The 15817-nt window shown below is 37.1% G+C and overlaps 1 protein-coding gene across 16 annotated transcripts in view; it reads right to left on the bottom strand.

Annotated features, from left to right (window-relative positions):
• Nucleotides 1–15817, bottom strand: part of RANBP17 (RAN binding protein 17) — a 437998-nt gene that overhangs the window by 105324 nt on the left and 316857 nt on the right. For all 16 annotated transcript variants that reach the window (XR_007058628.1, XM_011534627.2, NM_022897.5 and 13 more), the window contains 2 exons: nt 11462–11525; nt 11262–11370 (listed from right to left, as the gene is read on the bottom strand). Coding sequence is in view for 15 of the 16 variants with exons in the window: in XM_011534627.2 (XP_011532929.1) it covers nt 11262–11370; nt 11462–11525 (173 nt within the window). In the remaining variant the exon portion in view is untranslated. The remainder of the gene's footprint in view (nt 1–11261; nt 11371–11461; nt 11526–15817) is intronic.

Raw genomic sequence — 15817 nt, 5'->3', positions numbered from 1 at the left:
TCCACACAAAAAGTTGTATGCAAATGCTCACAGCTGTATTATTTCATAATAACCAAAGGTAGAAAAAACTCAAATGTTCATCAACTAATGAATGGCTAAACAAAATATGGCACATCCAAACTACGGAATATTATTCAGCCATAAAAAGGAACAAAGTATTAATACATGCCAAAACATGAATGTGCCTTGAAAACATGCTAAGTGGAAGAGGCCAGATACAGAGGCCACAAATTGTATGATTCCATTTATATTAATGTCCAGAATAGACAAATCCATACAGACAGAAAACAGATTAGTGGTTTCCAGGGTTTGGGGGAGGGGAGAAGAGAAGCAATTACTTAATGGTACAGGGTTTTTGAGGGGGGTGATGAAAATGTTATAGAATTAGATAATGGTGATGGCTGCACAATTTTATGAATATTCTGAATATACTAAATACCAATGAATTACGTACTTTACAAAAGTGAATTTTATGGCATGTGAATCTAAAACAATAATACCAACAACAAAAATCTGGGTTTGCTCCCCCTCCGAAATGTACACAAAACAGTGAAACTTCTAATTTCCTTAAATTTGAATGCAAATAGCAGCTGGATTACTGGGGAGTTGGGGGAAGTGGGCAAGGAGAAGCAAGTAATAGAAATGATATGATAACTGTAAATGATGGTAGCCAACAGTTACTGAGGATTTACTGTATAAGTACTGTGTGAAACACTTTGGCAATTGTGATAAATCAATATGGCAGGTAGAATACGAATAATTACCCTCTCAAAGATATCCGTTCTAATTCTTGGAACCTGTAAGTATATTAGGTTATGTGATAAAGGGAAATTAAAGTTGCTAATCAACTGACTTTAAAACAGAAAAGTATTCTGGATTATCCAGGTGGGTCCAATGTAATCACAAGGGTCCTTAAAAGTGCAAGAGGGAAGCAGAAGTCAAAGAACCACAAAGATGGCAGCATGGGAAGGATTTGGCCTGACGCTGCTGGAGAAAGGGAGGCCATGAGCCAAGGAAAGCAGGTGGTCTCTAGAAGCCGCAAAAGGCAAAGGAACAGATTCTTCCTTAGAGCCCTGCTGACACCTTGATTTTAGCTCCCTGAGACCCATTTGGACATCTGACCTCCAGGATTATAAAATAATACATTAGTATCGTTTAAGCTACTACCTTGTGGTAATTTGTTACAGCAATAATAACAGAAAACCAATATAGTCAGTAAAGGTCAGCTTTATTGCCAACCACCCCCACCCCCCATTTTCATCTGAAATACAACCTGGGGCACATGGCATCTAATTAAATTCATACAAAGTGCAAATCACTGAGTAGAAACCAAAATGCATTTCAAAGTAAATACCAATTAATGTGACACCCAATTTCTTTCCCCCTTTCTAATCACTGCAATGTGCATGGCTTATATACAAGACATATTCAATTTATTTCTGTAGGATGCAATTAGAATGTTTTATATTTCCATCCAAGAATCACATCCAACACTTTTGCAAGAAAGTAGGTGTAATGAAGCTCTGGTCCAAACTAAGGAAAATTAAGAGGAGAGATAAACAAGGAGACATAGGCACTGGGCGAAGAAAATAAACCATTCAAAACCAAGTAACAATGGGCAATCTCAGAAGAGCTGATGACTTCTGCAGGTCTAGGCCCAGATCATCTGCTATTTCCCAATGCTTCATTAAGATACCACTTCTAAGTTATATTACAGTAAAACTTTGAGAAATGTGCTTAACTGGCCCCTGAAACTTGGGCCACAATTTGTTTTTCATTTCAGTTTCCCTCTAAATTGCTTAGGAGTGCTAGCTAGTTTTGAAATGACCTGTGGCTTCAGGCAGGTCAGGATATTTTAGTATGTGTTGGGAAGTGTCATCAGATCTTACTTCCACAGGAAAATAATAGCCCTAAATATTGAAGGCAGAGTAGATGGCATTAAGAGAGCCAAACTTGCCTCATTTTGAGGTCCCAGCAGTAGTCAATGCTTCTTCTAATAGTGCACTCAATAAACGTTTCTTAATATTTTCTAAGAACTTGCTTTGTGATAGGAATTGCTCTAGGCCTTTTTATGTATCTTTATCTTATTTAAACCACATGACAACTCTTCTACGTAGTTTTCTCCATTTAACAGAAGAGAAAACTGAGGTGCCCTTTAATTCTTCTCCCTAGGGAACCAGAGTGTTTATTTTAGTTCCCGGAAAAAAAATACACTGCCCACTGCAGACTATAGCTACCCATTTTCAAAGAATCCCACCCTAAAAGTCTCATCCATGAAACATCTCATTCCCTGGGGTGCTCTGGACTGTCTAGCCTCAAAACCAGGTAAGTTATTAAAACTGGATCTGGACTTAATGGGCTGCTTTCTGCCTACAGGGCCAGCTAATTAGTCTTAATTATCTCATTACAGATTTTAAGTATTTCCAGCTGCTTCTTTACCCCTTACTGCCCACTCCCCCATCCCCCCATGTCTATTTTTCAGATAATCTCTGCCAAGTCATGGACACAGTTGATACATTGATGTATTCTTCCTATCTATCAGCTATTTCTGATCAAGCCCCTCACTTGCTAAACCTTCCTGAGATATCCACCTCTGTGTTCCTTTATCCATGAGAAGAAATACGCTTTGGCCAATTATTAGGCATAAGAACAAATTTTAAAAACTACATTTGACTTTCACTCACCATCAAACTATAATATACCTATACAGAACAAACAATAAACATGCATCTATCTGTTTATTTCATAGACGCTTAGAAAGTAATCATTTCTCATTTTCTTTCACTGCCCCCAAGCCCCAAATCAATCATTTGGACCAAATAGTTCAAATAAAAATGAAGGAAAAAAGTTGTATTTCTCCACTGGTTGATAAGGTGAAAGATGAAGTAATAGTTTAGTAAAAGTGGATGAAAATATGTGGTCAGAGGGCCACTACATACATGGCTGACCTTGGGCAGGTCATTTAATCTCTATGAACCTCAGTTTTCTTTTCTTTTTTTTTTTTTGAGACGGAGTCTCGCTCTGTTGCCCAGGTTGGAGTGCAGTGACGCGACCTCGGCTCACTGCAAGCTCCGCCTCCGGGGTTCACGCCATTCTCCTGCCTCAGCCTCCCGAGTAGCTGGGACTACAGAGACCCGCCATGACGCCTGGCTAATTTTTTGTATTTTTAGTAGAGACAGGGTTTCACCATGTTAGCCAGGATGGTCTCGATCTCCTACCTCGTGATCCGCCTGCCTCGGCCTCCCAAAGTCCTGGGATTACAGGCGTGAGCCACTGCGCCCGGCCTCTGAACCTCAGTTTTCTAACAGATAAACAATGGAATAATACCTATTTAATGTGGGCAGGCGGATCAAAAAGGATAAATGCCTATGAAAGTGGTTTATAAACTATATATTTTTAAACAAATGTTAACTATTATTAATAAAGAAAAAAATTCCTTCCTCTGTGTTTTTATTTCTATCTTTAGTAGCTATTTCTAGAATACTCTTCCCTTGTTATTCAAGTCATTCGTCATTCAAGATTTCTTAAATTTAAGCTAGTGATATCTTCAGATGCCAATTACCTCTTATAAGCCAAAGTATATGGATACTGTGCTACCCTCACCCCTAAAGATAGAACTATCTCTTTACATCCATAAACATCATTTTAATATTAGTATCCCCCTAGTAATTAAAAATATGACTGTTTCTTAGAGTTTAAATACCCGAGGAATGCATTGCTCACTCAAATCCTATCCACGTGCTTCTCATCTAAGTAGTACAACATAAGATGCAATCATGAAATGTCCAAGGAAAAATCAACCATTGGTGACACTGAGCACTTCCAAATTTGTGGCTGGTAAAAACTTAATTTGCAAATAATAATTTTGGTTCTTCACCAAATGAAAAGCGTTGTTATAGTGCCTTGCCACACCTACCCTCTTCAGTATTTGTCAACTAAATTCACCTGCATTCAAATGAAACAAAATAGAAGATTTTTATTTATTCAAGTATTTTATACTGAATAGCTCCCTGGAGGGTCTCCATTTACTGGCTCGGGTAATACTATCTTTCCTTTAGTTTATTAGATCGACCAAGTTAATTTTAAATAACCTAGGGAACTTGAAGTGATTCTTGGAAGGGCTAACACACATGCACATCTGGTTGGTCATCCATTTTTTTCTGCACGTGAAGGGATTTTCTGCATTCATTTTGATCATTTCTTCGAACACCAAAAAAACCTGCCAACATCTCTCACATGTTTTGAAACACCACTATTCTAATGATGAAATGCTTTCAATTCTGTTCTTTATGCAAGTGAACATTTTGTCTAGTTTAGCTAAAGCAATCCGATAAAATGGTACAACTGTTTATTGCCAACCACCCCCTGCCCCGCCGCCATTTTCATCTGAAATACAACCTGGGGCACATAGCATCTAATTAAATTCATACAAAGTGCAAATCACTGAGTAGAAACCAAAATGCATTTCAAAGTAAATACCAATTAATGTGACACCCAATTTCTTTCCCCCTTTCTAATCACTCCAATGTGCATGGCTTATACACAAGACATTTTCAATTTATTTTTGTAGGATTCAATTAGAATGTTTTGTATTTCCATCCAAGAATCACATCCAACACTTTTGCAAGAAAGTAGGTGTTTTTTTTTCTGTGATTCTTATCCCCACTCCCACTCTCCAAAATCAGTGATATAAAAAGTTTGTCTTTTTTTTTTAATTTGAGGAGGATCCTCATTATCTAATGTTTTTATTTTTTTCATTTAATATATGAATCTATGCTGCTCTTGACAACAGCACTATCTTTTTCTTCCTTGTTTCCATGACAATGAACACACAATAGAAAACTATCAAGCCATATATACAGAAATTCTGACAGCCATGTTCCAGTCAACCTAGTTTGTGAGACAAGGCTTCAAATAATAAAAACTGTGTTCAACAACGCTCAACAAATCATCGTCTATAAAGTAATAACACTCTGAACAGAGAGCAACAAGAGACTAATCGGGCACAAGAGTGGCCAAGTGTAGCTAATCACTTGTGAAAGTAATCAGCCACTTGATTTGTTTTGTCTTGGGAGAGGCCAATGATCAGAGCTACTTCCAGAAAGAACCTGGCAGCCAGAGCTGATTCCAGGAGCCACAATGACGGTGTCTTGGTTACTGTATACTTGTTTGTCATTCATTCAACAAGCATTTACTGAGCATCTGCAATGTAAAGACCCTGACTGGTGCTAGAAAAATATAAAAAAGATAGTCCATACCTTGAAGGTGCCCAACATAATTTTGGGAAGAAGAATAACTCCAGTTTTTAACAACAGAAAGCAGCTCTGGTAGTTTACACAACAAATCATACTTGATGCTTTTAATCATAACTTGATGCTTATCACATACATTTCATTATTTTAAAAAGTAAAAATTACTGATAAATAAGGAAGGAGTTTCTTTTCAAACATGTGGAAGTTCTATGAGGGTAGCTACTATGATTTTAAATTTTATTTATATCCAGATTCAACTGACTTATATTGAGCACCTACCATGCACCAAGCACTTCCACCATAGCCTCTTTCTGTTTCTCTCAAGGTGTCTAAAAAGTGCTTGTAATGCAACAGATATTTACATTTAAAAAAAAACTTTGAACTAAAAATGTGAATTTATTCTTTATACTGTTATGGGTTAAGTATTTCAAAGGAATAGAATCCTGGGTAAACTAATAAAATCCAATTATTCAAATTATATGTGTTTATTTCAGTTTCTCATACCTCATAGTTTACATTAAGCAATACTAAATAAGAGCAAATTTGCTTTCCAAAAAGTGTGCAATGTCTTTCTGGGCATCATCATGAATATCAATTATCAATGCAGTAATAAGTACAGTAGTACTGAGAATACAGAGTTGGGGCTGTGTGCAGGCTCCGATAGTGCTATCCTGTTGTTTAACCTACCACAGATACATAGTGGGTTCCCTATCTGTGATGACCATATCAAAAAGGAAATGTTAACCCATTCCATTTCCAGGTTCTGAAAATGTGAGTGACACGGACCTAGTTTTAAAAACTCTCCTCCAGATACTTCTCTTTTTGGTCTCCCCACTTCTTTCACTCTGTGTGACCGTGTTATTAAAAGAGCATTTTTAAGGCCTGGGAAATAAATTAAGTCCAGACAAATGTTTCAAGGTCTCTTTAATGCTTGGACAACTGGGAAAGCAAGAAGACAAGCTCCTTGAGGCCAGGACCCAGTATGCCTGATTCATCTTTGTCTTGCCCTCAGAGTTTAGCACACTGTGCTTTCTAAATGATTGTCAAGGGCAATGACACAGTCTGGGGCTGCGCCTCTTCTCACCAACACAGCAGCCAAGAGGTAAAATAGGCCAGGATGCAGTACGAAAAGCTGTCACTCAGTTACATCTCCGACTTGCCTAAGGTAGCAGATGATTGGGTTTTGCATGCCTGGTTTACGCTCTTCAAATATTTATAGATAGTTCTCTTTGCCTCCAGCCCTAGTTGTCACTTAGCCAAGTTATACATACATGGTTCTTTTAATCTTTCCTTAGAAATCAATCCCACTAAGCTCTTTAATCATTCTAGTTGCATGTCTCTCAACTTTTTGGCAGTTTGTCTTTCTGGTGATTTAGTCTGTGGAAAAGCATGAAAAAAAAGCAAGAAACATAGAGGGGTGTAGTCCCCTTTCCATTTAAAAATTCAATGCCTTTTATGGGCAAAAAAATTATTTTTCTTCTGTTTGTATGAACACATTTTTAAAAATTCATATTTAAGTTGATGTAGTAATAGACTTCAAGAGAAACAAAGAAAAAAGTATTATTGGTATTGTCTAAGGATGATATTGCCACTGACTGAACCCTCTCATGTATAACTGGTCTAACCTGCAGTATTCAAATATGAGAAATGGGAGTCTAGAGTAACATGGTCACTACAAAGAAGCTTAAGTACCCATCCTAAGGTACTGCCTATCTGTAAATACTTCTCACTAACTTTAGCTTTTTAGTAACAAATTTTAAAAATAAGTTAATTTTTACCATTATAAAAGTAATACACTAAAAAAATTCAAATGATCAGAAATAGAAAAAATTACCTACATGCTACAACCCAAAGTCGACATTTAGCATTTTTAATTATTTTTTAAATTTACAGATAAAATTTTATGTTATTTATTGTATACAACATGTTTTGAAGTATATAGACAGGCATACCTTGTTTTATTGTGCTTCACAGATACCACACTTTTTTTTTTTTTAAACAAATTAAAGATTTGTGGCAAACCTGAGTCGAACAATTCTATTGGCATCATTCTGCCAACATCATGAACCTACTTCGTGTTTCTGGGCCACATTTTGATAATTTTCCTAATATTTCAAACTTTTTTCATTATTATTATATCTGTTATGGTAATCTGTGCCCTTTGATGTTATTATTGTAACTGTTGTGGGGCACCACAAATTGTGCCCTTACAGGGTAGCCAACTTAATTGATAAATATTATGTATGCTGACTGCTCCACAAACCGGCCATTCCTTTGTATCTCTCCATCTTCTCAGGCCTCTCTATTTTCTGAGACACAACAATATTGATATTAGGCCAATTAATAACCCTGTGATGGCCTCCAAGTATTCACGTGAAAGGAAGAGTTACACGTCTCTCACTTTAAATCAAAAGCTGGAAATGATTAACCTTAGTGAGAAAGACATGTCAAAAGCTTTAATAGGTCAAACGCTGGGTCTCCTGCACCAGTTAGCCAGGTGATGAATGCAAAGGAAAAATTATTGAAGAAAATTAAAGCGATTAAATTAAAATGCCAGCAAAAACACACAATGAGAAAGTGAAACAACCCTATTGCTGATATAAAGAAAGTTTCACTGGTCTGTATAGAAAATCATACCAGTGTTGGGAGGCCGAGGCGGGCGGATCACGAGGTCAGGAGATCGAGACCATCCCGGCTAAAACGGTGAAACCCCGTCTCTACTAAAAATACAAAAAATTAGCCGGGCGTAGTGGCGGGCGCCTGTAGTCCCAGCTACTTGGGAGGCTGAGGCAGGAGAATGGCGTGAACCCGGGAGGCGGAGCTTGCAGTGAGCCGAGATCGCACCACTGCACTCCAGCCTGGGCGACAGAGCGAGACTCCGTCTCAAAAAAAAAAAAAAAAAAAAAAAAAAAAGAAAATCATACCAGTGATAACATTTCCTAAGCCAAAGCCTAATGTGAAGCAAGGCCCTAACTCTATTCTATGAAAGCTGAGAGGTGAGGAAGTTGCAGAAGAAAAGTTGGAAGCTAGCAGAGGTTGGTTCATGAGGTTTAAGGAAAGATGATGCCTCCATAACCTAAGAGTGCAAGGTGAAGCAGCCAAGTGCTGATGGAGAAGCTGCAGTGAGTTATACTGAAGATCTAGCTAAGACCATTGATGAAAGTGGCTGCACTAAACAGATTTTCAATGTAGATGAAACAGCCTTTCATTGGAAGAAGATGCCATCTAGGACTTTCATAGCTACAGAGGAGAGGTCAATGTCTGGCTTCAAAGCTTCAAACACCAGGCTGACTCTCTCATTAGGGGCTAATGCTGATGGTGACTTGAAGTTGATGCCAGTGCCCATTTGCCATTTTGAAAATCCTAGGGTCCTTAAGAATTATGCTAAAATCTACTCTGCCTGTGCTCTAGAAATAGAGCAACAAAGCCTGGATGACAGCACATCTGTTTACAGCATGGTTTACTGAAAATTTTAAGCCCACTGTTGAAGCCTACTGCTCAGAAAAAAAGATTTTGTAAGGCTCTAGGCTGCCACAGATAGTGATTCCTCTGATGAATCTGAGAAAAGTAAATTGAAAACCTTCTGGAAAGGACTCACCATTCTGGATACCACTAAGAACATTTGTTATTCAGTGGGGAGGTCATAATATCAACATTAACAGGAATTTGGAAGAAGTTGATTCCAACTCTCATGGACGACTCTGAGGGGTTCAAGACTTCAGGGCAGGAAGTAACTGCAGATGTGATTTAAATAGCAAGAGACCTATAATTAGAAGTGGAGCCTGAAGATGTGACTGAATTGCTCCAGTCTCATGAAAAAACTTGAATGGATGAGGAGTTGCTTCTTCTGGATGACCAAAAGTGGTGTCTTCAGATGGAATCTACTTGTGGTAAAGACGCTGTGAACATTGTTGAAGTAACAAAAGATTTAGAATATGACATAACCTTAGTTGATAAAGTGGCAGCAGAGTTTGAGAGGATTGACTCCAGTTTTTAAAGAAGTTCTCCTGTGGGTCAAATGCTAACAAACAGCATTGTATGCTACAGAAAAATCTTTTGTGAAAGGAAGTCAATTGATGCAGCAAATTTCATTGTCGTCTTCTTTTAAGAAATTGCCACAGCCACCTCAACCTTTGGCAACTACTTTGATCAGTCAGCAGCCATCAATATCGAGGCCAGACCTTCCACCAGGAAAAAGATTACAACACACTGAAAGCTCAGATGTTTGCTAGAATTTTTTAGCAATAAAATATTTTATTTATTTTTATTGTTTTTTGAGATGGAGTTCTGTTCTTGTTGCCCAGGCTGGAGTGCAGTGGCACGATGTCGACTCACTGCAACCTCTACCTCCTGGGTTCAAGCAATTCTCCTGCCTTAGCCTCCCAAGTAGCTGGGATTACAAGGTATTTGCCACCATGCCTGGCTAATTTTGTATTTTTCGTAGAGACAGGGTTTCACCATGTTGGTCAGGCTGGTCTCGAACTCCTGACCTCAGGTGATCCACCCGCCTCAGCCTCCCAAAGTGCTGGGATTACAGGTGTGAGCCACCGCACCTGGCCGCAATAAAGTATTTTAAATTAAGATATGTACATTGTATCTACATCATGACATTACACACTTAATAGACTACAGTACAGTAAGTTTAACTTTTATATACACTAGAAAACAAAAACGGTGTGACTTGCTTTACTGTATCACTTTATCATGATGGTCTGGAACTAAACCTGCAATATATTTGAGGTACATATGTATGATGTAGAGTAACTAAATCTAACTAATTGACAAATGCATTACCTCTATAGTTACCATTTTTGTGGTGAGAACCCTTAACATCCATTCTCTTAGCATTTTTCAAGAATACAATATATTGTTATTAACTATAGTCACCATCTACGTACAACAGATCTCTTATTCTTTCTACCTGAAACTTTGTATCTTTTGACCAGCATCACCTCAAAGTCCTCAGCTCTTAGTAACCACCATTCTACTCTCTAGTTCTATGAGATCAACTTTTTTAGATTTCACATATGAGTGATATCATATAGTATTTGTCCTCTGTGCCTGGCTTATTTCACTTAACATAGTACCCTCCAGGTTCATCCACACTGTGGCAAATGGCAGACATTTTTCCTTTTTTATGGCTGAATAGTATCCCACTGTGTATATATACCACATTTTCTTTATCCATTCATCTGTGGATGGACACTTAGGTTGATTCCGTATATCCTGGCTATTGTGAATAACGATGCAATAAACATATGGGAATGCAACTATTTGATATACTCATTTCATTTCCTTTGGATACCTATACACCCAGTAGTAGGATTGCTGGATTGTACAGTCATTTTATTTTGAATTTTCTGAGGATCCTCTACACTGTTATTCACAATGGCTGTACTAACCATTTTTGAAGAATTTCACTTAAGCCTTTTCTGAAGTATTGTCCCCCCATCCCCAACATACATGATCATACCATTTGCACCAGTGTAACACTTTGCCTTTTCACTTAATGTTATAATATAAAATTTCATGTATTGCCTTGTCTTTAAATCTTCATTTTTATTGCGTGCCAATCATTCTACAAGTAAGTAGGCGTGCCATAATTTTACAATTCCCTACTGTTGGACAGTTACATCATTTCTACTTTTTCTCTAGTTTAGACATCACTATGACGAAAATCTTTGTGTGTAAAGTTTTTCTCTGTTTAAGATTATTCCTAGATTCATAGCAGTAAAATTAATGTGTCAAAGGATAGGCAGAAAGTAAGCTGTGAGGTAAAAAATCAGTGCAAGTGTTATGTGAAGTGAAAAATGCCACCTTAAGTACAAATATTTGTCTTTTGGCTCTAATGCTAACAAGTGAACACTCAAATCTTAGAAGGTTGTAGAAAACTGTCAGAAGACGCTAATTCTAATAAGTTAAATGTTGTACCCACTAGTACTCCACTTCTTTATTCACACAAGTGTATTGCTGATCCCTTATTAATTGAGTTTAAATTCTTAACCTTACCCAGATCTACCATCAGAAGGCGAGTGAGCGCTGTGTAGAAGGTTGTTCGACACCTGAAGTCGCTGAGACTATGATTGTCACTGATGCCAAGAAAAGGGAAGTGTTCACTCTAATGAAAGCAAAAGAGTAATCCAAGTTACTAACACTTTACCTCAACTATTCGTAAAATGTTATTCATTAATTAAAGAAATAAGACTTACCGTGTGGTTTTTTAGCATGAATTTCACAGCATCTATCTTCACAAGTTTTTTTAAAAGGATATAAGTAATAGAAGTTAAGGAATCTAAGGAAATATATTTGTAATATCAGTATGTAATAAATCACAAAGTAACAGTGAACTGTAGTGGCATCAATTTCTACTTATAAAAAAATATAATTTCTAAAGAGCATTCCTATAGAAACGTCTTTCCTTCTGTTAAGAATGATAATCTATTATTAACCAATGCAATTACTTTTTCTATCTTATACATATTCTAGTTATGGAAAGAAAGAATGAATTTTATAATTAAGACAAGAACTCCTTTACTATTAAAGTCTTGATAGTGGAAAATTAAAACTGATCCCTTTTTATATTTTGGGTGTAACTTACGAACTTCTACTTACTTAATGTTATTTCATAATGAAATAATTTTATAAAAGACCCATAATAGGCTATCAAAAAAGAGAAAATTATTCAATTCTAAGAAATAGTGAGCTCTCTTGGTAGAAACCTAAGATCAGAATATAATTAGGAGGATATAGCAGACTGCATGTCATCAAGTATAGAAGGACAGCTTAAAGGAACTAATATTTCTCAAGTGCCTAGTACGTAAAAGGCATTTCCATATGTTAATTCACCTAATCTTCACAATTACACTGTTAAGTATTATTTATTATTTTTAGTCCATAAATAATGAAACAGGAGCTAAGAGAAATTAAGTTGCTTGCCCAAGATTATACAGCCATGGATTGACAGTGCTGAGATTTGAACTGTAGTTTGGTTCCAAAGGCCATGTTCTTTCTGCTGTACCACATTATCATCTGAACAGTTCAACTTAGAAGGAGCATAAAGTTAAGAAATCGGAAACATGAATACAAGGACTAAATAATTTCAGGTATGATGTGGATTCTAAACACATCTAGTCAGTATGCAAATACCCTCTTCTCTTACTCTACCATAGTCATGTGTTTTCTACCACAGCTAGAGCATCTCTCGGCCATTCCCTAATACCTACTCACGCCTTTCTTGAAGGCTGTAATAATCTTATATGGCTCCATTGATGTTACAAGGAAAATACTGGCTTTCTTTTTCCTTCACATCATCTCCAAATACATGCCTCAGTCTATTGCCTCTGCACAGGGGCACTGAAAAGCATAATTCTAAATGTTAGTCACTCAGGCATGGGTATCAAAGAGTGGAAAACACATTGGAACATGAGTCAGGAGACCTAGGCTTGACTATACCAGTCAATGAATCCAAGTAATAAACCTAGCCTGTCTCAGCCTTAGTTTCCCTCTCCAAGAAATGAGGATGAAACCTATGCCCAAGCTACCTTACAGGATTGTTTTGAGGATCAGATAATGCAAATGTCTTTGCCAATTATCAATCACGGAAAAAGAAAGATGCAGAGAATTCACACAACGTGTGCAACTTGCAAGGCTAATTTTCACAATTCCATGAGATAGGTAGCACATCACTTATATTTTTCAGGTAAGGAAATAAACTAAAAAAAATTAAATAATTTTTCAAAAGATAAACAATTAGTATGATTTATACTCAAGTTCCTCTGATTCCAAAGCAACCATTCCAGTTGCATATGAAGCATGTATGTTTGGCTTAGCCATATACCTGCTTATTTAAAATATACATCTACATTTCAGCATGTATCTGTATTAGACAGTAAACTTTCTAAGGGCAGGGACTACATCCATGGATTTTCCCTATTGCACTGCTCTCAGCAGGTGCTCAGTGCACTGTGTTTTTCTTTTTTTTTTTTTCTGAGACAGACTCTTCGCTCTGTCGCCCAGGCTGGAGTGCAGTGGCGTGATCTCAGCTCACTGCAACCTCTTCCCGCCCAGGTTCAAGTGATTCTCCTGCCTCAGCCTCCCGAGTAGCCAGGACTACAATCATGGGCCACCACGCCCGGCTAATTTTTTGTATTTTTAGTAGGGATGGGGTTTCACTACGTTGGTCATGCTGGTCTTGAACTCCTGACCTCAAGTGATCCACCGTGCCTGGCCACAAAGCACTGGGTTTTTCTGGCAGGCTGCAGGGCAACAAGATCAAGGCTGTCAGGTAGCAAGTTTTTCCTTGCCTCCAAAGATGCAGATTTGATGATTATTCCTAGTGTCAGTCACTGGGCTGAAGACCTGCCACTCAAACTTCACTCAGTTAAACTGGGGTGGGATCAATAAACTTAGAAATATCTTAAGTAATTACCAAATAGAATTCTCTTAAAATTGCGAAGTTAAAAGTGACAGGGTCTATGGGTAATAAGAATGCTGCCATTAATAGGAATCTTCCTGTCAGTGCTGTTAATAAACAGCAAGTCATGTTTTGACAATAGAATATTTATGAAAGCAATAAACAGAACATTCACAGGAAGAATCTCATCTGTCAAAGACACATTTTCTGCAGAACGGCATCTGTGCACTTTGTACCAAGGCCAGCCTCACTGCCTTTTAATTACATTCTAAAGAAAAAAATGATTAAGAATTTTTATATTTTTCAATAAAGAAAAAAATGAGAGTTCATCTGAATATTTATGTTATCTTATAGAAATCCAATTCAAAGCTAGTTCTGGCTCTTAAGTGGGTCTGTAATGTTAAAAAAGGCAAATGAACCCATCATCTTTATGATCTTTACACTCTGATCTTATTCTTCTCTAAGAGACTAGGGTTCTTCTGAGTTGTGCCATTTTGGCTGGGTGGAGCACTAGATAAATTATGGCAACACTAGGTTAGACTTCAGAGGTCTATTCAAAACACCTCTTAGCAGTAAATCTGGTAATGGTGGTAACAGTAACAGTAGCAACAGTACTAGAAGTCTTGAGAGTAACATTAATATAGGAAATGTCACACATGGAACATGTCAACAGAAGAGTCACGATTCAAATCCAGATCTGTCTGACTCTAAAACATAGGGTCTTTTCACTAGGCTATATCAGATCCATTTGATTTTAAAGAGGCTAGTTCTCCTCCAGAGATCATTTGCTTCTTGAAATACAATTGAAATCGGAATCAGGTCCCAGAAGGGACAGGGAAACATTTTATTTTAGGAGGGACCAATTCATTAACGAGCCAGCATCACATCCAGGATTGAGCAAACTCTATAGTCTGGCTGGCAGTAACCCATTAAACTAAATTCTCAGAAAATCCCTGTCTCTAGCCATGTGGTTATGAAAACATCGAAGAGGGTGAAGACAGTCTTATTGATAGCTAGGATGACACATGAAGAAAAACAAGAAAAGAATCTCATAGATGGCTGAAAATTCTGAAAATCTATATCTTTTGAAAAGGAGGATACTAAATTGAGAATGAACTGCTTTCTTAGGTTACAGGAGTACTACACAATTCAGTAGCTGCTTGACACAGTAACACCAAGTATGACTTCAATTCACAGTACCAGGCCTTTTCTGAGTATTTACCCCATTTAATCAAATCTAAAACACCACTGATTGTAAAACAAAAAAACCACTATAATATGTACTACTAAGAAAAAGTACTTAAAAATACCATCAATTATAAGATATATCCTATTTACAAAAGTGTAAAGACGTGAAAAAATTTCATTTAGAATTATATTAGTGTACTAGATACATGATATTCACTAAGTACAAGAGAGTGGGTAATCATACTGAATCTGGGCAAATATTTAAAAGTCATACATGTTCATAGACACTTTTTGCAGACAGAGTTAGATCCTGATGAAAGAAGAAAGTTCACAGATGACAATATTACATGTCAGAAATTGCTGTACTTAGGTTATATGCACAAAGTAGAGTAACTGAAATGTAAGTTTAGTTATCTCAAAAGTGGAATTTTGCTCATGAACCCTACTAGACACACACACAGACACACATATACACACACACAAACAGACAAAATTCCTTTTAAGCAAATATAAAGAAAAGAATAGGAGGAAGAACTACCCATTATAAAAGTACTAAGGGAGACTATATAGGCCAAAAACTATACTAATTAGTTATCCTCATATGATACCTGGCCATTTCTGATAATTTGGGTAATAACATCAATATTTATTCACAAGATGGACTAAAGACTTAAACATAAGACCTAAAACCATAAAAACCCTAGAAGAAAACCTAGGCAATACCATTCAGGACATAGGCATGGGCAAAGACTTCATGACTAAAACATCAAAAGTAATGGCAACAAAAGCCAAAATTGACAAATGGGATCTAACTAAATGAAAGAGCTTCTGCACAGCCAAAGAAACTATCATCAGAGTGAACAGGCAACCTACAGAATGAGAGAAAAATGTTTGCAATCTATCCATCTGATGAAGGGCTAATATCCAGAATCTACAAGGAACTTAAACAAATTTACAAGAAAAA

This window comes from Homo sapiens, chromosome 5 (assembly GCF_000001405.40).
Source record: "Homo sapiens chromosome 5, GRCh38.p14 Primary Assembly".
Classification (NCBI taxonomy): Eukaryota; Metazoa; Chordata; class Mammalia; order Primates; family Hominidae; genus Homo; species Homo sapiens.
This window is presented reverse-complemented; position numbering and strand designations above follow the sequence as displayed.